Here is a 27,588-nt window from a genome sequence, read left to right as displayed (position 1 = left end):
TTTTTTTTTTTTTTTTTGAGACGGAGTTTTGTTCTTGTTGCCCAGGCTGGAGTGCAATTGCATGAACTCGGCTCACTGCAACCTCCGCCTTACAGGTTCAAGTGATTCTCCTGCCTCATCCTCCTGAGTAGCTGAGATTACAGGCACGTGCCACCATGCCCGGCTAATCTTATATTTTAGTAGAGACGGGGTTTCTCCATGTTGGTCAGTTTAGTCTCGAACTCCCGACCTTAGGTCATCTGCCCGCCTCGGCCTCCCAAAGTGCTGGGATTACAGGCATGAGCCACTGCGCCGGGCCTAAAGTCATATTTTTTATTTAGTATATTTGGATATAATATTGAAATATCTTTGAAGGTTATAGGACTCTAGATTAAGGTTCAAAAAATATTTTTCCATTCTTAATAATGTGCCTTTAAATAGCAGTTTTTAAAATCCAGAATATATTTTTTAAAACTAGTTAAAAATATTTGTTATAAACAAATCTGTTATTCTAAACACTAGCATGCTAAGTACCTTTACTTCATAAATATATGCTATTTTCTAGTTTTTATGTTTAAAAACCAGTCATCTTTTATTTGAAAAATTAAGAAAAATATAAAATACTATACAATTTTTAGTCACTTGGGGTATTAAAGTCAGAAGTAAAAATCTATCCTCCTTCTGTCTAATTCTACTTTACAGGTAACTATTCTTTAAAGACTGATGCTTTATCTCTAGATTACTTCTATGCTTATGCAAATATATTTATAGCTATGTATCTTCATCTATTTACCTCTCCATTACACACATGTGTATAGGTATATTCACATTTTAATAATGGATCAATGATATAGCTACACATATGTATGATATACATGCATATATTTAATCTCCTTTTTGCTTTAAAATATGATTGACATGTTTCCATGTCAATATATATTGTTAATCTTTGATCCATTTAAAATTATAAAATGTTTTCATAAGCAATACATCCACCTCTGTTAATTTAACATATGAAAGCATCTATCTCATTGCAGTGTGATTTCCTTCAATGCAGTGAACTCTGTGGTTTCTCCATTTCTTAGAGTATAGCATAGTGCACACTGTCTAACACATGGCGGGATGTCAAAACATATATTGATGGTAAGATGAATGACTGAATATAAAGGAAGAATATCAACATTAATTTAGTGAAGCATTTCCTGTCTGCTTGCTGCAGTACTTCACTTTTCAAACAACCAAGCATACCCCTACCTCCAGGCTGCATGCATACTCTTCCCTTTGCTTGGTGTGTCTTTCCCTCAGATGTCCACTTGAATTACTCCTTCACCCTGTTGATATACCATTCCCTTTCTGAGGACTTTCCTGATCCTAAATGTAAAATGGCATCCTTTGTCTCTTCATCACTGTATTTTACTAAATCTTTTTCATATACAAATGTTTTCTCTCTATTTATGTACTTGCTTAATGCCTGTCTCCTCCACTACCCCTCATGAGAGCTGGACTTGTCATTTCCCCTCACTGCTGTACTTCCTGTGCCTGAAACACTGGCTGACATAAGATACATGCTTGTTCAATACTGGTTGAGTGAATAAGTAAATGATAAAATTCGATGACTTCCATTTGTAACTCTCTCTATATAATTAGCGAGATGGTGATTGTTAACTCAAGTCAGAAAACTCAGCTCCTGTTTGACACATGTAACATGAGGCAGTCATTTTCTTACCTTTAACTTTTTTATTTTAGTTGCAGCTAAAGCATTTATTGGTATAACAAACACAAGGACTGCCACCCCTGCTAACACTGCTGGACCCAGCTCTTGCCAAAGGAGATATACGGCCATTAGGATTTGAAAAGGGGCAGACCAGAGGAGATTGAGGTTTGCTGTCAAGTCCATGAGTTGCTGACATCAAGTTAATAATTTCCCCAGTGGAAAACTTTTGTCGAGAAACATTTGATAAAAGTAAGGCCTATAAAGAGAGAAGCAAATATTTTAGAGTTCTGTGATTATGGGGCATCTTTATAGTTAAGCAATGGTAACTTTTAATATCAATGTTTAATATAATTAGGAAAGTGTACAAGGTTATTTATGTATTGGGGTATTATAAAATGAAGAGACATGATTTTTAGGTGAGGAAATATAATTAGTGATTAAAGTATATACTTTTGGAATAATGTTTATTGGTAGAGAGTAACATTTGGGTTTCCAAACAATAAGAATTTATGGCATACTATGCAGCCATAAAAAGGAAAGAGATCATGTCCTTTGCAGGGACATGGATGGAACTGGAAGCCATTATTCTTAGCAAACTAACACAGGAACAGAAAACCAAACACCACGTTTTCACTTGTAAGTGGGAGCTGAACAATGAGAACACATGGACACATGGGGGAACAACACACACTGGGACCTGTCAGGGGAGTGGGGGCAGAGGGAGGGAGAGCCTCAGGAAGAACAGCTAAAGGACACTGGGCTTAATACCTAGGTAATGGGTTGATCTGTGCAGCAAACCATCATGGTACATGTTTACCTATGTAACAAACCTGCATATCCTGCACATGCACCCTGGGACTTAAAATAAAAGTTGAAGAAAAAAAAAGAACCCTCAATAACTTGTTGATTACCAAAAAAAAATATATATATATATATATCTTCTAGATATATTAAGGCTCTCCTCAATTTGGTGTTGTCCCCATAATGCTACACCATCTAAATGTTATCAATACAAAGTACACAAATGAATCAGGACAATTAAAAAAGGACACAGTTTTATTTCTCAAGGTGATTACTATCTATCTGTAAATCTACACACATACTCTGTTTTGCTGTAAGTGTAAAAACAGCTAATAAGGGCCATGGGAACTTAGAGATGAAAGTACTGAAAAGGTGTCATAGAGCAGATGCAAATACATCTTTTCTTCCAAGTCCCATTTCTCACTTTCCACAAGTGCATGCTACTTAATATATGTATACTGAATCCAATATCCCCAAGCATAATTATTGGTAACTTTTTACAAAAGATGCGGATAGAAATTTATTTATTTAATTATTCCTCCATTTAAAATTCCCAGTGAAATACATAAACAACCGTAAAAGTAGTGGGAGATTTGTATTTCTACTGGAAACTGGACAAAGGTTCATTTATATATCAAAAAATGTATGGAATCTTCACTGCATTGATTTAAAGAGGGACAGGACTGAGAGTTGGGGATAGCAAGAGAAAATGACATACAGGAGTCCCTCTAAATCTATCTATTCAATAAATTAAAAAAAAAAATGGAAAAGTCCATCTGGAATATAGTAGTTTGGGCCCACAGTGGAACATATAGCCAGGAACATATAGCCACGTATATGTCATTAGTCGTTTATATGTCTTCTTTGGATAAATGACTATTCAGGCTTAAAAAAGAAGACAACTCTGAAATATGAGACAACATGGATGGACCTTAAGCCGTTATGCTAAGTGAAATAAGCTAGACACAGAAAAATAAATACTGGATGAATTCTCTTACATGAGGTATCTCAAACGGTCAATTTCATAAAATCAGACACTGCAATGGTGATTCCAAGGGTGGTGGGGGGAAGGGAAAACCGGGAAGTTAGTGCTCAACAGGTACAAAGTTTTAGATAACCAAGACGAGTAAGTTCTAGAGATCTGCTGTAATATATTGCACCTATAGTTAGCAATAAATCCTTTTTAAGCTTAAAATGTATTAAAATGATAGATTTCATGTTACTTTTTTTACAATAATAAAAGAAAAAATCAATTGCTTTTAGACTATTAGAGAAAATACTGAAAGGTATTATATAATTGAAGGTTGTTTGTATGGCATTTCTAACACTAGGGGAATTTTTTCAAATTTTTGGGTTTTTTTTCTTCAATATTTTTTTCTGCCAAATAAGCCTTTACATTTCTGAAAGAGACAAAATTCACAAGCCACGAAGGACAATTTAGTTACCATTTATTGCTAAATTATACAATCTAAGCTGCCTTTTTGTTATACGAAACAACTTGAAAGAATACTGTAATATGTGCCAATTACAGCGGATGGTGTAACATTTCTAGAATTGTCTGGTAGGAAGTACTTTAGTCTGTTACAGGAGGAAAAATGTGATTCAGGTGAAAAGAAAGGAAATCTGCCGGGCGCGGTGACTCACGCCTGTAATCCCAGGCGGAGCTTGCAGTGAGCCGAGATCGCGCCGCTGCACTCCAGCCTGGGTGACAGAGCGAGACTCCGTCTCAAAATAAATAAATAAATAAATGAATGAATAAATAAATAAATAAATAATAAATAAATAAAAAATAAAAATAAGTAAATAAACAAATAAAAGAAAGGAAATTTAAAACAATGTTAAAAGTTTGGAAGCTTCTAAGTACTCTTCAATCAAAATGAAAATTAGCCAGGTCATTTGTTACCTAATCACTTTTCTAAGAAGCTGTTACTTTAAAATTCTATCCAAGTTTTAGATTTGTTTTCTACAGTATTTTCATATCATACACATCTTAATACACCCACACACTCACACACACACATAAAGCTGTGTGACTCATCTGTTTTTAAAACTTCATTCATTTCCCTAATTGAATTATGCTCTAAGAAAATCAACATGAACCAGATATAGTTCCAAGCCCCACAATCTTGATTATCACTAGTTCAGTCCTTAATATTTCATTTTATGAACTGACGATGAAATTTGTTTTGCAATTTCACATTCTCCTTCTTATATATTTGTTACTTTCTAGACTCCATGCCATGACCCTAGTTCTTCATTTCTTTATTTCTTCAATTATTGCACTAGCTCTAAGGGTCTCCTTCTTTCCCATCTCATCTGTTTTTAATCCTTTTGTCCTGATCATCCATCTTATGGCTCAGCTGGGTCCCAATTTCCTATAGAATTCAGGTACATTTTAAAAATATAGCTTTCAAGTTTTTTTTTTTTTTTAAGCAATCCCTTCTGCCTTTACTATCTCTCCCCACCATTCTGGACATAAAACATTGTCTCAAGCCGATTTAATCTACTCACCATTTTCTGAGCAGGCCTTGTACGCATTTCTGTACTTTTTTTCTCCCAAGTTATTCTAACATCAGAGCCTTTACCCCATGCAATGTATCCTTCCATTATTCCATGACCCACATCATGCAATATTAACCATGACACTTTTCCTGACCATCCTAGCTGCAAGTAATACACATCATTTAATGTAGAGCCGCAAGGGCTCCAAAAATTCACATCCCAATGATCTTCAACCAGAAGTATGAGAAATGGTAAAGCTGAAGGTGGCAGCACATAACACTTATAAGAATGCATTCTTCAATCCCTTGTGTGCCAATAAATATGCCAAGATTCTCTTTCTGACTCTAAGGGCAGGATTTGGATTCTGTCTCTCCTTCTCCTGACTATACTTAAGTATCTCTACTTTAAGAATGTAACTAAATTTTTACCATTTTTTTTGCGTTTTATAATTACCATAATTAAAGTAAGATAACACCTTTAAACTACAAATGGAGACAGTGTAGACACCATACTAGCCAATATGGTAGCCACTAGCCAGATGTGGTTATTATATTAAAATTTAAATTAATTAAAATTAAAAATGGACTTCTTTAGTTGTACTAGTTACATTTCAAGGGCTCAGCAGCCATATGTGATTAGTGCCTACCATACTGTACAGTGCAAATACAGAACATTTTTAAAAAAAATCACAAAAACTCTATTGGACAACGCTTAATGGAGGAATTCCCCCAGACTGCCCACATTAAACCCAGGTTTAATTGATGCTTCTTTTTAAAAAAAGTTCTTTTTTTTTTATTTTTAATTTATAGATTTGGGGGTACAAATGCAGTTTTGTTACATGGCTATATTGGGTCATGGTGTTTCTCATCCCTTACCATTACCCACCCTCCCAGCCATCCTAGTCTCCAATATCTATTATTTCACTCTGTACGTCCATGTGTACACGTTATTTAGCTTCCACTTATAAATGAGAACATGTGGTATCTGACTTTCTGTTTCTGAGTTATTTCACTTAAGATAATGGCCTCCAATTCTATCCATGATCTAGCAAATGTGACATGATTCCATTCCTTTTGTATGACTGAGTAGTATTCCATGGTGTGTGTGTGTGTATATATATGTGTATGTGTGTGTGTGTGCGTGTGTGTGTGCATGTGTGTGTGTGTACACAGACATATACAGCACATTTTCTTTATCTGATCATCTGTTGATGGACACTTAGGTTGATTTCATATCCTTGCTGTTGTGAATAGTGCTGTGATCAACAAACAAGTGAAGTTATCTTTTTGATATAATGATTTCTTTGGAGTCATGTTTTGTTTTTTAGTCTCCAAGAATTTTCATGGAGCTTGAACCTGTGAACTAAGGGGTAACAGAATCTGAGTTTTGAGATCCACAGAATCTTAAAGTCATCAAGTGGAAGGAGGCCCATGTTCTTTCTTGCAAACCTAAAAATGATATTCCCTGAACTTTATTCCAAACTTACACTAGTAATTGTGGATGGATAAGGAACAAAGCACATCCTGATACCTGCACCCCTGATATAGTTTTGTTCTGTGTCCCCACCCAAATCTCATCTGGAATTATAAACCCTATGTGGCGAGGGAGGGACCTGGTGAGAGGTGATTGGATCATGGAGGCAGTTTCCCCTGTGCTGTTCTCATGGTAGTGAGTGAGTTCTCATGAGATCTGATGGCTTAAAAGTGGCACTTTCCCGTTTGCTCTCCCTCTCTCTCTTGCTGCCAAGTAAGAAGTGCCTTGCTTCCCCTTCACCTTCCACCATGATCGTAAGCTTCCTGAGGCCTACCCAGCCACGCAGAACTATGAGTCAATTAAACCTCTTTCCTTTGTAAATTACCCAGTATCAGATAGTATCTATATAGCAGTGTGAACATAGACTAATACAACCCCTCACCAAGAAAAGGACCTGAGACCAACTTTACCCTATTCTAGTCACAAGTCCCTGATGAAGTATGGCCAATTTCAGAGAAGTATGAGTCATCTGGAATTCTAAAACCTATAAAGAAGAAGGGAAATTTAACAATCCCTGTTCACCTCATGGAGAGAGACTTGTGTCTCCTGTTACACTGTAATATCCACTACAGGGTCCACAGAGTAGGCTTGATAGCAATACTCCTTTGATCCTTCAGTGTCCCTTAATCTTAAACAATCTTTAAGGAACTATACAAGGTCTATCCCCTGTAGTCACTATTCCCACTTTGCAAGACTCAATGATGACACTTGTTTCTCTTTTTAATTTCTAACAGCTTGCTCTAATTTCTACTTCAGTCCATTCTGTTTTTACATTTAAGGTGTTTGGACTCAGAACATGATACCCCAAAATGTGGCACCTTGGCATGCTGAGCACTTGGAACTGAAGAACATTGGGAAGGCCTCAGAAGCAAAGTCTCTCTGACCCTCTCCAGCCCTTTTGTCTCCCACTCCTCTTTCTTTCCTTTTTCCAAAAGTGAGTCACAGAACTAGAACCCCTCTCAAACAAGCCTCATTTAACTTAGAAAGGTAACACTTTTTCCCGTCTCTCTTGAAGACCATCATTCCAGAAGGGTCCTATCCAATATCCAGGGAAAGGAATACTATACAGAGAGGCCAGGAAGAATTTGAATGGAAAGGCCATGCTGGGTGTCTCCTCTCAGTCCCTTACTATTAGATCACACCCTTTTGTCTGATCACATTTCTACACTGCTGTCTATTCTCTATAGAACCTAAGCATAAGAATAGACAGTTTTCCCTGGATCATTGGGTCTTACTTCTGAAGAAGTAAATTTTAATTAAATTAACTTGTTTTATTTTTCTCTTTTCAACCTGTCTTTTGCTATAGGAATGTCCACTGCAACTCTTATGATGGATGAAAAGAGGTATTACACCTTTCTGCCCCTACAAAGGACTGCTTTTATTTAGAGCAGTTTTAGGTTCACAGCAAAACTGAGAGAAAGGTACAAAGAAATCTCATATACTCCTTATCCTGCATGTTCATAGCCTCCCCCATTATCAACATCCTCCACAGAGGGGTACATTTGTCACAGCCGATGAAACCACATTGACACATCATTATCACCCGAAGTCTATAGTTTGCATTAGGGTTCACTCTTGGTGTTGTACATTCTGTGGGTTTGTACAAATGTATAATGACATACATTCACGATTATACTATCACACAGAGTGGTTTATTGCTCTGAAAGTGATCCGTGCTCCACATTTTATGCTTCTGCATTCACTCTTTCATGGCAGTTTAGTCTTTTATGTTTGTAAATCCACCTACATCTCATGTCTAAACTCCAATGCTCTAATCATGGAATAAAATCCTGTTCCATATGGACTATATAACAAAACAAGTGTTAGCATTCAAACCAGTTTCTAGATTCTTCTGTATCTTTATTCCATATTGGAGGCAGCACATACTGCCTCTAGAATTAGGACTGGGACAGCCCCTCTAATCCTGTATGTGGACTGAGTTCTACAGAGCTAAACTCTGCTGCAAGTTCAGTTACCATTTACTGCTCAATTTGTACTTGGCTTTCCAAGATCCATAAAACCACTTCATGCCCCCATTGTGGCCCAAAGATCAAAATGGCCTGTAATGCTTTATGTCCAGCTCAGCCCAAATTATAACACTTCCTTCCCCTTACACAAAGTCAATAGCTCTCTCAAAGACCTTTTCAAGACTTCCTATGTGAAAACTTCCTTAACTATGTACAACCCCTTGTAGATTTTCTGTTCATCTGATCTCCTATAAAATCTGCATTTAGTTCCACATGTTTGTTATGTATGCTAACACTTCCCTCAATTTATTTGGAAAGCAGGGGCTCACTTGTTCATTCATTCATTCATTCATTCAGTAATCCAACTTTAATAAAGTATAAAAGTCATTGTCTTGTATGATATGGATACAACAGCTAAATAAATTTCTATTCCAAATCCTGATGAACCTACAATTTAAATCAGAGTGCAAAGCGGGAACAAAGTACACTTGTTGCTGGGATAATTACTTGATAACTAGGGGCGGGAGGAAGCTCTTTAACTGTTTATAATTATGTTGTAAATAAAAGACCCTCCATGGTAAAGAGGTAGTGTTTAAAAAAAGGACTAATTAAACTTTAGGGTTATGCCAGGAATAAAGATCAGCCAACTTTGGGAGGCAGGACTTAGAATAAGAGAGAAATGGGGAATGACAGTATAAAAATGAGTGACTTTATTGCATAAAAATGAAGTTCCCAGAGGAGAAAGGAAAAGGTAATATGAAGACTGAAAATAATATTGTGAAAAGGAGAGCTTTTATTGATGCATACATATAGAAAACCATGAAAATATTCAATTCCACTCACTTTGTGAGTAGCAGTTAGGTGGCATAAGATTAAACAAAGATTATCTTTAATGTAATGGATTAGGGCTGACTAGAAGTTGTAAAGACCAGAGAGAGAGAAAGAGAGAGAGAGAACATGTACTAAAGAGAAATTAATGCAACCAGTATCGATGAGCCAAAGTTCTTTTAAAGCAAAACAAATGTATATACAAAGGATTTCCTAAGGACTTTTTGATATACTCCCCTATTTTTCTAGCCCCCTTATTTTAAAGCACATAAGGGAGTAGTCCACCCAGGAATGGGGATTCCTTGGAATTTTTACCTTTTTGTAGATCAGTCCATTTACAGCTGTCTTAACTTTTGCTGAGGTGAGCATGTTAAAACGTTGATATTGCTGAAGAATCAGAGTTTGCAAAAAGACTACAACAAGAAGTGCCACTGCATAGCCATAGCCATTCCAGCCAAAATCTGAGCTGTGTTCACAGAAAATGATAATTTGCCTGCACGTCATAAAAATTGAGAAAGGGGCAGAAATGTTAAACATCTGAAGTGTTAAATGCTTATGAGAGTTTAGTATTGTCAAAGTGTTACACACACACACACACACACACACTCTTACCTGTTCTTTTTCTTTACTTGCTTAATTTGATATTTGTCCCCGCCCTCTCTTTTTTTTTTTTTTTTTTAGTAAAATCAGGAATCCCTTCCACTGGCTTGTGAGTACGAGGTTATTTTCTGGTTTTCACATGGCAGGCCCATCAAATAATTAACTTTTCTGGTATAACTTCATCAGAAAAGTCGAGACATAGATACATTTAAAACTTTATTTTTCTCAAAATTATGTGTTTTATCAAATACAGGGAAACATGACAACCAGAACGTAAGTAGGGGATCTTTTAGTATGGCCCACAGGTGCTGCTTTTTTTTTTTAAGCTTGATTTATATCTCATGTTTTATTGTCACTTTTATTCATAACCAATTTCTTTTTTCTCTCCTTTTCCTTATTTCCTCTTAAGTTTGTGACAGCATGATCAGGATGATTAGGGCCAATGCTGGGGAGCAGAAAAACAGTGGGGATGGTTCTAATTACAAGTATCTCGGCTGATAGTCCCTCAACTATAAACATTGTCTAAAACTCAGAGTGCCTGATGTTCACTGGTAATAATATTTTAAGCATGATTTCACCTTTTTAAAACTGCATCAATGCGACTGAAAATAGTGTTAAATTTAAAAGGCTATATAGCACATGCAATATGGTGAAAACAATTTGGGCGTATACTGTGACATACTACAAGGATATGCTGACTCATTTACCTGATGATCTAAACAAAAATTTTGAAGGCATCCTTAACTTCTCGCTTCCTCTCTCAACCTACATTCAGTCCACCAGTATATTCTGTTAACTCTACCTTTAAAACACAACCAGAGTCTGACCACTTCTTATCACCCTTATTGCTACTACCTAGTTGAAGCCACCATTAACTTTTGCTTGGATTATCGCAAACAAACTTCTAACTGGTGTTTCTTCTTCCACTCTTGCACGTCTTGATTTTATTCCCCACATAGCAGCCAGAGTCATTCCTATAAGACTTAAGTCTAAGCAGATCATTGTTTTTTTGCTCAAAATCTTCCAAATTCTTCCCTGCTAATGTGGACTAAAAGCCAATATTCCCATCATATTTCATAAGGTCCTTCAAAATCTTTTCATCTCTGCACCTTTCTGACCTCAGTCTTACCTTTCCAGCTCTCTGCTCCAACCTCACTTTGCCTCCTTGCAGGCCCTCAGAGATATCAAGCATGAGCTTCTTCATGACTTTTGCCCTTCCTGCTACCTTTAATCACAATAGATATTTTCTTGGCTTCCTCCCTAACTTCCTTCAGAACTGTGACCAAATGTCACCTTATCACCAATGTCTTTCATAATTACCTTACATAAAACGGTAACTTCTAACTCCTCAGACTGGCATTCCCTTACCCTACTTTACTTTGTTCCTAAGCACTGATGGTATCATTTATGTTTATTCATTTGTTTGGCTTTCATCTCTCCCCTCTAAGTGTCATCAGAGCAGGTTCTTTGTTTTGATTTTTGTTCTGTCCCCGCAGTCGACCTAGAACAGTTTTGGCATGCATAGGTGCTCAATAAATATTGAATGAATATATTCCTGAATATCATATGGGATCTAAGTAATGCAGGATTAATGATATTTTCATGAATTAAATGGTTATTAAAAACTCTAACAACTTGGAAATTTTTCAATAGTAAAAATATAATCACCAGTTAATAAAATATATGTTTCTTTGCATTTCCTTCATATGACAGCTAGGTATAAGTCAAGGTTTCCTTGAAAAAGGTGGCACAGTCAAAAGATCAATTTCATTGTCTGCCTGTAAACCATTGCAGGTAGATATTATAGAAATGTTTCAAGTCATTTTACTATGTCCATATCTAGATATAGAGATGCACAGAAATATACATATATTAGGTAATAATAATATATGTTCATATATGTTATACATAGTAATTGTGTGTGTGAGTGTATGTTTGTGTGTGTGTGTAATTGCCATGGCTGTTAAAGCTCAACTCTCAAAAGGCCACAACTAAGTATCGTAGTGAAAATATGTATCGCATACATTCAAGCGAGACTTCCTAGATTTCAATTACGACTCTGGCACTTTCTAGCTGTGGGGACTTGGACAAATTACTCCACCCTTTCTGTCTGTTTCTGCCATTGTAATACTGAATGTAATAATACTGTCTATGTTGCAGGAGTGTAGTAAAGATTAAATGAGATTACCAATGTGATGGTTAATTTTACGTGTCAACTTGACTGGTGAAGAGATGGTAAAACATTATTTCTGTTTAATAACATTTAAATAATGTTTTACCATCTACCAGATGTCTGGGTGTGTCTGTGAGGCTGTTTCTGGAAGAGATTAGCATTTGAATCAGTAGACTGAGTAAGGATGATCCCAGGGCATAGTGCCTCATCCAATTTGTTGAGGGCCTGGATAGAACAAGAAGGTAAAGAGAGAGTGAATTAGCTCTCTTTCCTGGAGCTGAAATATCCACCTTCTCCTGCCCGTGGACGTCAGAACTCAAGGTTACCTGGCCTTTGGACTCAGACTGCATTATGCCACTGTCTTTCCTGAGTCTCTAGCTTGCAAATGCAAGACTGTGGGACTTCTTGGCCTCCATAATTGCGAGAGCCAATTCCCATAATAAATCCCCTCTTATTTGGGCTTATATATCCTATTGGTTCTGTTTCTCTGGCGAACCCTTGCTTAATAAAATTAATATAAGATTTTAGAGCAGTGCTTAGTACAGGGTTGACTTTATTAGATATTGACTATATTATCCTAATTCCCATTTATATTGTAGATAACCCTAATAGCATGTCCACATCCTAATAATATTTGCAATAAGAACCTTCTCTACTCTTTTGTATTAGAACTTTTATATTAGAATACTTACTTTTCATTTATCTGTGAGGAGGGAAAAAAAACCCACCAGACTTTAACTTACTTCATTATGAGTGGGCTAGTGAAGGACAAAATATCAGCAAACACTTTGAATAAGGCAACTTGAATCAGGATGGATTTAAAGGTGTTCCACAATGCATAGAGTAGAGATGGTTTCTTGATATGTGCCTCTTTATAACAAGATACCTACATAACTAAAGAAAATAGACACAATGAGAAAATTGGACACAACTAATATTAATAAAATGAAATATAACTAAACTACTTATACAATTAACAATATTGCTCTAAAGACAATAAGGTAATAAGAAAGGAATAAATCAGTTAAACTTGAAATTATGACCCATATCATTGAGATGGTAGGTGGTGTTACTTATACCACATGGCATAAAGGGACAAGTGCAATAGTTGCATTTTATTATTTTTGTGAGTTTTGAAACTATTTAATTAACATAAATACAGTTTTTATCTCCAAATTATATTTTCTTTTGGAGAAGTCTGAAAATAATATATATGCATATGATGCTAGAGGTGGAGTGTCTGCTCCTGCTCCCATAAACTTCAATTTTGGCCACCATATAATTTGCTTTGACCAATAGACATGATGCTCTGAGATACAGAAGCTATCTTTGTCACCACTGGTAAGGAGCCAAAGATATATACATGCATATCAACACATTTGCTCCTGAACATTAAAGAGAAGGAATGTTGAGTAGTTTGAAGACAGAAATGGGCTGCAATAGCAACAAATTATGCTTATAAAAATAGATTGTCATTTCACACATTTTACAAATTTCGATATTAATAATAGTATCTCATACTTGAAAAAAGCTTTATCTAGTTGTCAGGCAGTAATCACTTCAGGAGTTTATAGAACTTCATAATTAATTACCTTTACTTTTTGCCTCTCTTGATTCCTTAAAACTTCCTTTCTCCATTGTTTTTCAAAGATGGGACACGCAGTGCAGAAGGAATCACTTTCCTTTAGTTCAAAAAGATCCTCTCTTTCCAAAGGTCTCTTATAGCCTAAAGTAATTACTCTAAAGATGAAAAAGTAAGGTAAACAAGACAGCAAAACAAATAATCTAGTTAAAAATAAATTGTCATACATTTATTACTTTCTTTGATTTTTGCATTATTTTATTGATTAAAATACAATGACTAGATTATGTGTTTAAACAAATCATACAGTTTTATCCTGGAGGTCAATAATGTGCAATAATCATTTATAGTTTTTATAAATGCTGTTTAGACATCCAATTATTCAGTGAAACACTGACTTCATTTATTCATCTTATATTTGGGAAATGTACCACTCAGCTCATTAAAATTTATATAGCAAATTTTCCCAGTAGAATATCACCCATACCACTCAAGTACCCAAACTGGCTTTTAGGCTTCTATTGGAGGGAAAACAAATCCAACCTCTGCATTTGCAATTTTCTTCTGTTCTACTAGGACTTTCTGTACAATTTGCCACTTGACTTTATAGATTGTACAACTGGATGTGGAGTACTTGTCCCTATCCCACAAGCTCTGGCCTTGGCCTTATGACCAACAGAATATGAGCCAATGTGAGAGTGCAGTTTCTGAATTGATGCCTTAAGAAGCAAGGCAAGTCTCCACCAGCCTCTTAGTTTTTCCACCCTTCTCCATTCAATGAGCTTATCCCAGGTGACACTGCAAATAATTATGCAAGAACAATGGGTCTAAACTGGGAGGCAAACAAGATGCATAGTGTAGTTTTACCACAGAAGTTACTGTGGGAGAGAATGAATTGTACTTACCCACAGCTCTAGCTCTGCTCTACCGTCTTTCTGCTAACAGGGATCTGATATTTCTTCAGTTGAAAATCTCTTGAACTCATGGTAAGGTCTTATTTTAGCCACAGAGTTATGAATTATAATTGATCTAAACCAGTCCTGGTACTCTCATTACCCTGTGCTTGGGATTAATAATATAACTGAGTTATGGCTAACAATACCCAAGCCAATATCTGCTAGGAAGAACTTTCTTTTTCAAATGAAAGCACAGAACTTCAAAAGGAGAAAACATGTTGCCTCCCTTCTCTTTCCCTTTTGTCCTTTGAAGCCATGATGCTTTGAGATATAAAAGCCATCTTTGCCACTACGGATAAAAAAGCCAAATAATAAGGATGGGAAGCAGAAAGACTAAAAAAGCCTGAGCCTTTTTTTTTTTTTTTTCCCCACAGACTCTTGCTCTGTTGCCCAGGCTGGAGTGCAGTGGAGCAATCTCTGCTCACTGCAACCTCTGCCTCCTGGGTTCAAGCAATTCTCATGCGTCAGCCTCCCGAGTAGCTGAGATTACAGGCACACACCACCATTCCTGGCTAGTTTTTCTACTTTTAGTAGAGACAGGGTTTTGCCCTGTTGGCCAGGCTGGGCTTGAACTCCTGGCCTCAAGTAATCAGCCTGCCTTGGCCTCCCAAAGTGCTGGGATTGCAGGTGTGAGCCACTGTGACCGACCTAGCCTGGGCCTTTCGTAACATTTCTGCAATAGTTCAACAACTTATTTCCAGTAACACCCTCTTTCCAATAACATAAGAAAATAAATACTTGTTTGTTTAAACTATTATTATCTGGCTATTCTGTTACTTGAAGCTAAACTCACTCTGAAGTGATTTAAATCAGATATAGTTTGTGACTTTGGTGACATGACTTGTTCAATAAGAAATTAAACCCATATTTAAATCCAGGCCTTCTGACTGGCCTAAGTTCTGTCCATATAAAGTGTATTAGCCGAAGAGGCGGTAACAATGCCTTAAACTACTCCAAATTGGGACTGCTTTCATTGGCCTTGTTACTAAATAATCTCAATTGATTGACTCTGGGATGAATTTAAACCCTATGGTAACAAAAGATTCCACTAGATTTTATTTTACTTTTAGTATAATACATAATATCTTACCACAATTCATATCTAACAAAAAGGTTTAAATGTAATAAGAAGGGATTTTCCGTAATCATGTTTCTGTTGGCTCAAATATGCTGGACATTTTCCTGCAGTGCACTTTTAAAAACATATTAAGCAATAAACTACTTTCTTGTCATATTAAGTTCTATTTCATTCCAGAAAATAAATATTCATTTTCAAAATAAGACTGCATTGACTTTTAGAAAAGCATTTTTAATAACATTTACTGCCTCAGCATTTTGAGTTAGAACTGTGCAAAACTCAGAGGTTTCGGTTCAGGGAAAAGTGACCTCTTGCTTTCATGCTGAGTCCCCAAATAATGCAGCATCTAAAAGTGACACTTAAGCTGACTTGATTGTGACTCTCATGGCTTAGTGGTTTAACTACCTTGACTTTTTTCCCAGATGTGTGTTCCCCTCCACTATCTTTTGCTCTCTTCTAACAGACTCTGATCACATGGCTGGCCTTACCTTCCCACACAAGAGTTTGGAAAAAGAATAAGCAAGGAAGTGATAACGAAGTGGTATTTATTTAAATCAAATGTTGAGGCAGCTTTTTGGGAAACAATGAGGACCCAGAGTTGGCCCTCTCAGTAAGTGAAATGTGTAACACATACTAGGTCCCATCAACCTGTGGGCTTTATTCCTAAAACGATAATACAGTTTACACATGTATCTCATATTTTTAGAATGATGTTTCTTTTCAAAGGACATTCACATCAATGAATTTGATTCTCACAACTCCCCAAAGCTGGCAGAGCAGGATTAATTTCTCATTTTTACAGGCAGTTAAACATTAAGAACTTCAGAGACTGGTGATGGTGTTTTGTATGTAAAATAAACCAGGGCTAACTTAGCAAAAAGCAGACAGTGAAATGTATTACTTCTGATATGGTTTGGCTTTGTTCCCACCCAAATCTCATCTTGAATTGCAGTTCACATAATCCCCACATGTCATGGGAGGGACCTGGTGGGAGGTAACTGAATCATAGGGGTGGTTACCCCATGCTGCCGTTCTCATGATAGTGAGCGAGTTTTTATGAGATCTGATGGTCTTATGAGGGGCTTTTCTCTCTTTGTTTGACACTTCTTCCTGCTGCCAGGTGGAGAAGGACGTGTTTGCTTCTTCTGCCATGATTGTAAGTTTCCTGAGACCTCCCCAGCCCTGTGGAACTGTCAGCCAATTAAACCTCTTTCCCTTATAAATTACCCAGTCTCGGATATTTCTTCATAGCAACGTGAGAACTGACTAATACAATTTCCACTCTTAAATTTTATTATCTTAGAGAGAATTTTGACTATATTTAGAATTATTAAATGTGCATAAATATCTCAACCAACTCATGTGAACAGAATAGAAAAACAGTGGCATTCTATTAGGAAGATGAGCTGAAATATAACTTTTATAGATGAGTAATATTTGAATACTTAGAAAGTACAAATATATAGTAGCATTATCAATTTTATTGCTATAAATAACCTTTTAAAACATTTCTGGAGGGAGGCCAAGGCGGGTGGATCACGAGGTCAGGAGATCCAGACTATCCTGGCTAACATGGTGAAACCCCGTCTCTACTAAAAATACAAAAAAAAATTAGCCGGGTGTAGTGGCGGATGCCTGTAGTCCCAGCTACTCGGGAGGCCGAGGCAGGAGAATGGCGTGAACCCGGAAGGCGGAGCTTGCAGTGAGCCGAGATCGCACCACTGCACTCCAGCCTGGGCGACTGAGCAAGACTCCATCTCAAAACAAAAACAAAACAAAACAAAAAACCATTTCTGGAAAGAGGTATTATGTTATGGGAAAAGGAAAGAAATCAATCTGGCCAAAAATTATAGGTTGGGAGAAAGTTGTTTAATGTACAAATTTTTTTAGTATGTGAGAAAAAGGACATATTGAATAGTGTATCTGGTTAAAATAATGACACTATTGTGACCTATGAAAACTCTTACTAGATTTTTCCATGTATATCTCTGGCCATGATTATTATACACTGGTGACAGATTATATTTGCTAATAAAGGCTTGGTAATTATTTGATCATCAGAATGATCTAGATAGCTATTGTCTTAGGAATTAAGGCTCATAAGTATATAATTTTGTAATTATTGTGTCATCTGAGCACATTTTAATTGAGTTATTCATACAATTATTGATGCTTGAATTTGTTCTAGGAAATAATTTGACACTATTCTGTAACTCCAAAAACAGATAGGAGAATACAATTAATCTTTGTCTTCAAAGGGACATTCTCTTAAACAATAGTTAGGTTTCAAATACAATTGTTTAGTCACCACATAAGAAATCAGATTAGATCCATGCCAATGACAGTTCTGGATAACAACATCCTATGAAAATATTTTGTATCTAATTATGAGATATTCAAATTAAACAGAAAATAAATGTGATATTCACAGAGCTTGATGGTTTGTTTGATTGACTTAAGATATGGATTTCAAAATACTAGGTTGTCATATTTGAAGATTTGCTATGTCTTATCTTGCTTATTAAATTTAATTTCAGCGTCTTTAGGAATGCTAAAATAATGTTTGCAATATTTAATACATATGCATATAGTTTTTATAGTTTGATAATCAAAGTTTAAAACTACATTTATTTAAAATTAATTTTATTTGCATTACTTAAATTCTGTGATACCTATGGATTTAAAATGAGACTAGAATTTTTTATTTTTTATTTTTATTTGTTTATTTTTTTTGAGATGGAGTCTCGCTCTGTCGCCCTGGCTGGAGTGCAGTGGCGCGATCTCAGCTCACTGCCAGCTCCGCCTCCCAGGTTCACGCCATTCTCCTGCCTCAGCCTCCCAAGTAGCTGGGACTACAGGCGCCCGCCACCACACCCAGCTCATTTTTTATATATTTTTTTGGGGAGACGGGGTTTCACTGTGTTAGCCAGGATGGTCTCCATCTCCTGACCTCACGATGCGCCCGCCTAGGCCTCCCAAAGTGCTGGGATTACAGGTGTGCGCCACCGCGCCGGGCCCGAGACTGGAATTTTTTAAAGCTGGGGTAGGTGTCACTCTTCCTCTCAACTCCCCCATAAACAAAATTCAGGTTTGGAAAACATTTCTATACCTATACAAATTTGAAGCATTAAAATCATTAACTGTAAATAGCTCACATTTACATTTCTAGCTATGCTTTCTCTTTTCTAGTGTGCTGCTTAATGTTACATAGTTTTGCCATCCTCTTTAAGAGATTCTTAGATTTGTGTAACTTGGAAATTTTATCACAATTTAACCCCTTCTGCCCAAGTATTTGCTCACAAGTATATACATTTTCTACTTCAATTGCTTTGAAAAACTCCCCAGTGATCTTCATGTTGCCAAATTTAATGGAGAATATTTAGTTATTATTTTAATTCACCCCTTTGCAGTATTTGGCCCTATTGACCACTTTATTTTTCTCCTTTCTTGACAGTTTCTCTTTTCTTACCTGTCACTCATACTATTTCATCAGATACTTCTCTTATAATATATTCTGAACACCTTTACTTAGCTTTTTTTGTAGACTCCTCTTTCTCTTGCCATTTAAATACTGAGGATTACCAATGTTCCATTTGTTCAGCCTATTCAATAGGTTCTTCCTCTGGGCAATCTCATTCATACGCATGGTTTCAACTACTGTCCTCTAGTCAGTGACTCCCAAATCCATATCTATAGTCAAAGGTTTATTCTAAGCCTGGAAGCCACATATCCAAACTCCTGTACATGTGATGCTTCATAAGTGTGGGGAAAAGAAAGACAGATCAGATTGTTACTGTGTCTGTGTAGAAAGAAGTAGACATAGGAGACTCCATTTTGTTCTGTACTAAGAAAAATTCTTCTGCCTTGAGATGCTGTTAATCTGTAACCCTACCCCTAACCCTGTGCTCCCTGAAACATGTGCTGTGTCCACTCAGGGTTAAATGGATTAAGGGTTGTGCAGGGTGTGCTTTGTTAAACAAATGCTGGAAGGCAGCATGCTCGTTAAGAGTCATCACCACTCCCTAATCTCAAGTACCCAGCGACACAAAATACTGCAGAAGGCCACAGGGACCTCTGCCTAGGAAAGCCAGGTATTGTCCAAGGTTTCTCCCCATGTGATAGTCTGAAATATGGCCTCGTGGGAAGGGAAAGACCTGACCGTCCCCCAGCCTGACACCAGTAAAGGGTCTGCGCTGAGGAGTATTAGTAAAAGAGGAAGGAACGCCTCTTTTCAGTTGAGACAAGAGGAAGGCTTCTGTCTCCTGCCCGTCCCGGGGCAATGGAATGTCTCGGTGTAAAGCCGATTGTATATTCCATCTACTGAGATAGGGGAAAACTGCCTTAGGGCTGGAGGTGGGACATGATGGCAGCAATACTGCTCCTTAAGGCATTGAGATGTTTATGTATATGCATATCAAAAGCACAGCAGTTTTTTCTTTACCTTGTTTATGATGCAGAGACATTTGTTCACGTGTTTACCTTCTGACCTTCTCTCCACTATTATCGTATTATCCTGCCACGTCCCCCTCTCCGGGAAACGCCCGATAATGATCAATAAATACTAAGGGAATTCAGAGGCTGGTGCCGGCGTGGATCCTCCGTATGCTGAATGCCGGTCCCCTGAGCCCCTTTTTCTTTCTCTATACTTTGTCTCTGTGTCTCTTTCTTTTCCTAGTCTCTCGTTCCACCTAACGAGAAACATCCGCAGGTGTGGAGGGGCAACCCACCCCTTCAATAAGTATCTCAAAAATTAAAAATTTCTCAGTCTGAACCCACAGTTTTTCACCACATCTGAACTTCACAGCCAGTTCTTTCCCACCTTTTATTGTATGGTTTTCACATAGTATTTGCTCAATTTGGGATACCACGTTTCTCACTCCTACACATCTTTAAATGTTAAGTGAAAGCATTGGTATCTGTGAAATAGTCTCTAATTGTGCAAACTTGATTAGATGATATTACTGAAAATTTGTGTTTGTCAATTACGCTTATGTTGCCTTTTCCCTTTTTTTGTAATGGTGGTATACTTTTTAATCTTTTTAATTCTACTATGAATTCCTAGAAGACAGAAACTAACTCATTTATCTCTGCATTTTTAAAGACTATTTGAGTTTGGGGTATCTAGTACCTAATCATTTTTTAAAAGATTAATCCACTCTTGGGAACATATCTGTAGATAAAATTGAGCAGTTTTGTTTCTGTGAACTGCAGAGCAAGGGGCATAAAGCTAGAAACACAAATTTAACTTCATATTATTATGGAATTTCTGTTATGGGGGAAAAAGAAATACATTTCTAAAGAAAGCTTCTGAATTTATAAAATAAGAAAACATCAACTCTTCCCATTCAATACCATTTAATTTCTGTGTTAAAAATCAGAGTTCACAATGGTATCTCCTGAAGAAATTCTGAGCCCTCAACATATGTTATGGGTGAATTATTCTATGAGAAAAACCATAATATATGTCATATAAAATGCTTAGGGCTGTGTGTGTGTGTTTTTTAATAATAGCATATATTAGTATAAAAGAGAGCATTTCTAATAAAAAGTAGATTGACATAGCAAAAATAAAGCTTGAAACATGAACTCATCAGAAATTGGTTTAAGACACATACTTACTCCTACATGGGTATCAATGGACAGGTGCTTTCGTTTCCTGAGCCTAAATTTTTCTCATGCAAATGCCTTTCTCATAGCACTTGGAGGAGAATTAAATGAAATAATAAACACAAAGTGGATAGCATATACTTGATGCTAAAAAAGAAGTTCATTTTTCTGTTCTTCCCTAGTGGTAATGAGATGAAAACCCGACAAAGATATAGACATATTGGAGGAATATTAGTACTGTTATCTGTGGAACTATTTAGTATGTTTTTACCTGTGATTTCTGTGTAATAAGTAATATGAGACAACTTTGTACAACTATTCACTTTGAGATTAAAGGAAATTCAGGTGTCATTTCCCTTGGGATCTTTTTCAGTGTGGTACACTACAAATATATTAGTAAAATTCCTACCTGCTAAACCAGGAATATGTCACTTTACTGAAAAATGAGGCACTTTTCTCTGGACTGCATTTCTGAAAAGAAAAAATATAGAGAGTAGTGTATAAAGTAAATATTTTAAATTTATATTTGAAATATTTTTTGTCAGGGGTAAATCTGACATGATTTATTCTACTAAGAGTTACGGATATGTTGGTATCATAATTCTTAAGAAATATAGTTAAGTGAAGATATTCTTGTATGGTGGTTGGACTAGAGGAATTTCAAGATTTCTCTCAATATTACGATGGTGCATGTAGCAGTAAATCATGTTGGGAAGGAAAATTGTATGTATATGTACATATACATACATAGAGAGATTTTAGAACTGTAAATTTACAATTATATGTATTTGTATACATATATACATATACAATATACATACATATACATATATATGTACACATACAGTGGGACAGTTCTTTGAACTTAGCCCATATTGTCTATTTACATTAACACAATTATATGACAGTATAAGTGAATAATTTATACCCATATGTATTATATATGTATATGTATATATAAGATAAATGTAAGCATCTAAATTGCTAAAGATAGTTTTCTTTTTCTGAAAAATAGAAAAGAGAATATCATAGTTATTTGGTATACTTCTGTGTGTGTTTACATATTTTAAAAATTATATACACAATTACATATTTGTCACAATTACACGATATCTTGGGGTGGGTTTTAACATTTCCATAAAGTTTTCCCATTTACTGTGTTGGTTTAACCAAGAGAAAAGAGGTTTAAAAATAGAGGACTCAAAAATAACCATTTTATGTTTTTATAGTCAGCATCAATCTCTTTGCATTTTAAAAAGTAAGACTGGTCACCAAGTTAATTTTGATTTTTAGAAACTGTCCAACATTTAAGAAATTTCCTAGTGATCTTCTCTAACTCAGTTCTGATTCCATAATCAGTGTTTACCAATTTAAAAAATTCTGAAGCTAGAAGGAATGACTAAATCCAAATTTCATCGTATACAACAAAATGCCCAAAGTAGAGATGAGAAAATGTATTTGACGCCAAATGTGTTCTCTGTGTTATAACAAATTATATAGTATAAATCATTTAAGATATACACAATTTACCAAAATGGCATTTATCATTATAAGATTGTTGCAAGAACTAATATAATGATAAATATAAAATACTTATCACACCATTAGCCCAAAACAATGACTCAAATATATGAACAATAAAATTGTCATCACTATTGTTACCAACATATTATTTAAAAAACAAGTACATAAATTATTGGAAAAAATATTCTAAAAATTCTCTAATTAACCTGGAGGACATATTTTATGTCATAAGTTCAAATTTCACAGGGAGTTGCTAATGTGATAATTTGCTACCAATGAAAGGATCGGATTGATAGCCGAAACACATATATTTCTGTGGAAAACTGTAAATGGCTACCAATTCTTTGCAGCTTTTCCCATCAAGAGGTGGAATCTATTTCCCATTCCTTGTATCTGGGCTGACATTGTGTCTTGTTTTGGTCATAGAAATACAACAGGAGTGACATTGAAATTCTAAGCCTCAAGAAGCCTTAATGCTTTGGCTCCTGCTGCGCTTAGGACACTGAGTGCACCATGTGACTGAGCTGGAGCTAGGCTGCTGAAGGATGACAGATCATGTGGAGGAGAACTAAGGCACTCATCTGATGGTCTATTACCAGGCCAATAGCTTGAAAACTGCCAGATATAGGAATAACGTGGTTCTAGATTATCTGCCTACCAGCCCATCTGCCAGCTGATTCTACAATCATTGTAGAATTACTGTCATTGTATTTAGTTCTCGCAACAATCCTATGCATAAAAGAGCGCAGGAGTTATCCGTCAAACTGACCCAAACCAGGACACAATCCAACTGACCCAAAGAATAATTAACTAAATAGCATGGTTGTTGTTTGAGGCACCTAAGCCTTGCAAAGCTACTGCAGATGGCTACTTTAGCAGACTAAGAACTCGGTACTTGGTTTAACATTCCCTCTAGGACCATTTTTTCATGTGAAAGCATCTTATGTGACGCCCTTTATATTTTCTGGTACATAGCCTCCTTAGATGTGAACCAGGTATCTTATGCTGAAGCACAGTAAAGTCCAACCATACTTTACTTCCCAGAAGGAATAGCAGCCAGGTTTAAAAAAAAAAAAAAAAGTCTGATGAAGGGAGTTAATCCTTACCAAGCACCAAGAATGTGCAAATGACTTTTCAATACATTCATAATTATTGAATTCATATCATGGATCTCATTGAGTTGATTATATATTGCACATAGTAATTTCTATGTAGAAAAATAGAACATGACAATTCTGAGTATCTTTGAATGTTCTAATTTACTCCCATCTTCTCCATTAAATATTTATCATCTTTCTAACTCATTTGTTCTCAATCTGACAGCAATTCTGGTCTGCTGACATAATTGACCCCAAGTGAGTTTCTCATTTCGTGTGTCCCCATGTCCACTACAGACCTTGTTTAAGCTGTTTTATTATCTATTGTATTTATTTACTATTGAGCTTATAGTAGGCATTCCATAAACATACCTTGACATTGCTGACTTAAGAGCAATTTTCACTAGAATGGAGGTCCTGTTACTTCTGGTTTATGGCAGAAAACAATAAGTATTTAGACCACTGGATCATAGCACAGCTGGGGTTCTGAAGTGTACTGTTTTCAAACTTCCTTGGGTTTAATGTTGAGATGTGACCTCATGGCAATACGGTTTGTGTGACAGATTGCTGTGTTTACTGATATCCCATAATGCCTAATTTCAGAAGCTTCCTATGTGGATTTTATAGGGGGATTTTGGGAATAGTGGAGGAAGTTACTGGAAAATGAAAGTAGATGCTCATGGAGAAGGGAACACTTCTGGAAATTAAAAAAAAAAAAAAACTTACTTTTTTTTTTTTTTTGACATGGAGTCTTGCTCTGTCACCCAGGCTGGAGTGCAGTGGTGCAATCTTGGCTTACTGCATCCTCTGCCTCCCAGGTTCATGCGACTCTCCTGCCTCAGCCTCCCAAGTAGCTGGAATTACAGGCATCTGCCACCAGGCTCTGCTAATTTTTGTATTTTTAGTAGAGACAGGGTTTCACCATGTTGGCCAAGCTGGTCTTTTACTCCTGACCTCAGGTGATCCACCCCTCTTGGACTCTCAAACTGCTAGGATTACTGGTGTGAGCCATGGTGCCCAGACAGATAAAACTTACATTTTTTTAATCACTTAAAAGATGCTAAATTCTGTACTAAGTATATTATTTCACTAAATGTAAAATACCTTTATGGTGGAATAATTTCTGTCACCCCTATTTTATAGAAAGGGAAACTAACACCCAGAGTTTAAGAAACTCGCCTAAGATCTTGCAACCAAGTATTGGAAACAAGATCTAAACCACTTAGTTTATTCTATACTCCAGTTCTAAATCCACACTCTCAACTCTGTACCCATGCAACACTGTTTTTCACTACTTAGACCTTTCCTACTGCCCACATCCTTCTGCCTCCCTTCTCCTGGCTTTTGTGCTTCAATCCTATTCAGGTTTCAGTGTCTTTTGTAATTTCTGTCCTCTCACTCCAGTCCAAGGCTCTGAAACACGTTCTGTATTACCAGAGCAACTTTAACATACTCCTCAGGGAGGACTTAAGGGCTCCTTCAGGTTGGCACTCACAGAATTTACCCTCATATTACCCAACTCTCTCATTATTTCCTGGAAGGTGCTTCTCTCTTACTAGATTTAGTGTCGCTGGAAGACAGAAACTATAGTTGGTTTATCTCTGTATCGCTAGCTTCTGGAGAAATCTCCAGTTTCTCAAGGCCCAGGGCCAGCTCATAATAAACATGTTTCGGATGACTGACTGAATGAATGGATGGATGCTAATCACTACCAACAAAAAATATTTAGAAGAATCTATTCACAGTCACCATGTTAGCCATAAAAATTCAATTAAAAAGGTATGTTCTTAGCTTATAGTTACATAGGGATTTTTACCTGAGATCTGTTGTATTAAAAATATGAAGTCAATATGTAAGTAAACAGAGGTTTTTTTATACATTTTGAAGCCATCAATTTTTTTTTGAGATAGTGTCTCACTGTGTTGCTCAGGCTTCAGTGAAGTGGAGCGAACATGGCTCACTGCAGCCTCAATCTCTCAAGCTCAAGTAATCCTTCCACCTCAGCCCCCCACCAAGTAGCTGGGACTGCATGAGCACGCCTCCATGCCTGGCCTCCCAGAGTGCTGGGATTACAGGCGTGAGCCACTGTGCCTGGCTACCACCAACTTTTTTTAAAAATTGCCATCATAGAAATAACAAATAGAGAATGAAATTAAAATGAATATTTTCAACCTTGTTTAAGTGGATTCCTGATCTATGAAGGCTATCAAAGTTGAATAATAATCAAGGAAACAAACGGTGTTTGAATACTAAAGGAAGAGTCGACTAAAATTTGGGGTGACAAAATTGAGTTTTATAATTTTTCAACTACAAGTTTATAATTTACTGCCTTTGATCACCTTGGCTGTTACACTAATGATATTAAACCAGTTTGCGCAATTGAGCCTGCCATCTCTACGGTACAGTAAAAAGAGGCATGCTATAGTGATGGAGCTTTTTCACATTTTCAAGGAACTTATTCAGCCCTTCTATCTTATAGATTTTTATAAAAGTACTTTACATATAACTTAATTTTAAATAAATTTATAGTTTGATTTTGTATGTGATCAAAATAGATGTCACATATATTTGACACTCAGAGTTACTAAAAAAGCCAGGATTAGAACAAGTCCCCTGAATCGGAATTATATATTTTTTCTTTGTTAGGACAACAGGGCTGTTTCTAAGTCCATGTCTTGTATAGTGATGATAAGTGAAACAAATGGAACTTTTGTTAGGGGAATTGTTGCTAATACACAACAACTGTAGGGCTCATTTCTCTGACTACCGCCTTAGCACGTGACTCCCATTGTAGAAGCATGAGTTATAGTGCGCCAGAGGAGAGCACAATTAAGTGTCTGAAGTTTCTGGATTTGCCCCAGACCTGGGTCCCAAAATCCACACTGAGTGTTATTAATCCCCAATGCTCTGCGGTTTTAATGGGATCACTCAATGGTAGTAGAATTCTGCTCCAACCTGTGTTCCTTCAGCGATGACAGGCCCATCCACGCTTTCTGCTTATGGGGGAGTTACTTATCTCTTCAAACAAAGATGCCTCTTCCTCTCCTCCAGCCCTACCAAGACTGAGCTCCTCTGGTTCAAGTTGCACCTACCCTGATCTCTGATCTCTGCTCTGAGGATTGAGTGTGTACGCCGGTCTGTCTGTCCCGTGTGTGTTGGCTACTGAAACAAGGGCTCGTCCGTCCACGTTCAGGGTTCGAGGACTCACCTCTCCCCACTTCCACTCCTGCACCCACAGTGGTCCCCACGACCCGCCTCTCCTCTCCCCTAAGGACCAGAGAACTTTACCTGTGTATCAAGCGCCCCGCGGACCCGCTGATAGGAGCCGCCCGCGTTCTGCGTACTGGAGAGCATGGTCCGCGGGGCGCCTGGCCGCTGGCTGAGAGCCCGGCTGCGGCTGTCACTTCCCTTGGCAGCGGACAGTCAGTTCAGCGCCAGCACGGTGGGAGGACACGCACTCCGCCCCGGCAGAGTCAGCTGTCACCTTAGTCCCTGCCTTTCAGTCCTACCCAGTGCGCCTGGGGCGGTGCGGGCAGTCAGCTTTCACCTTAGTCCTTGCCTTCCAGTCCTAGCCAGTGCGCCTGGGGCGGGGTGCTGGTGGAATGGGGTTGGGCCTGGAGGAGGCAAGGTGTGGAGGGAGACGGGAA

At 37.1% G+C, this 27,588-nt stretch overlaps 1 pseudogene across 2 annotated transcripts, besides 1 other annotated feature; it reads right to left on the bottom strand.

The window, feature by feature from the left end:
- ABCC13 (ATP binding cassette subfamily C member 13 (pseudogene)) lies at nucleotides 1–27,588 on the bottom strand (annotated as a pseudogene). Of its 2 annotated transcripts, NR_003087.1 has the most exons (6): nucleotides 27,230–27,588; nucleotides 21,730–21,791; nucleotides 13,690–13,837; nucleotides 12,841–12,983; nucleotides 9,640–9,817; nucleotides 1–1,949 (listed from the first exon to the last, which is right to left on the bottom strand). The product of NR_003087.1 is annotated as an ATP binding cassette subfamily C member 13 (pseudogene), transcript variant A (transcript). The 2 variants fall into 2 exon arrangements; NR_003088.1 differs by lacking the exons at nucleotides 1–1,949; nucleotides 9,640–9,817 and adding an exon at nucleotides 9,988–10,101.
- Nucleotides 19,473–20,245: an enhancer, noted in NCBI's record as "OCT4-NANOG-H3K27ac hESC enhancer chr21:15653463-15654235 (GRCh37/hg19 assembly coordinates)". NCBI's record gives its function as "activates a minimal SCP1, AML or CMV promoter by ChIP-STARR-seq in naive H9 embryonic stem cells {active_cell/tissue: H9 hESC(naive)}" and the evidence as "EXISTENCE:reporter gene assay evidence [ECO:0000049][PMID:30033119]".

Source organism: Homo sapiens, chromosome 21 (assembly GCF_000001405.40).
Source record: "Homo sapiens chromosome 21, GRCh38.p14 Primary Assembly".
NCBI lineage: Eukaryota > Metazoa > Chordata > Mammalia > Primates > Hominidae > Homo > Homo sapiens.
Note: the sequence above shows the minus strand (reverse complement) of the source record. Positions and strands in the feature narration are given on the sequence as shown.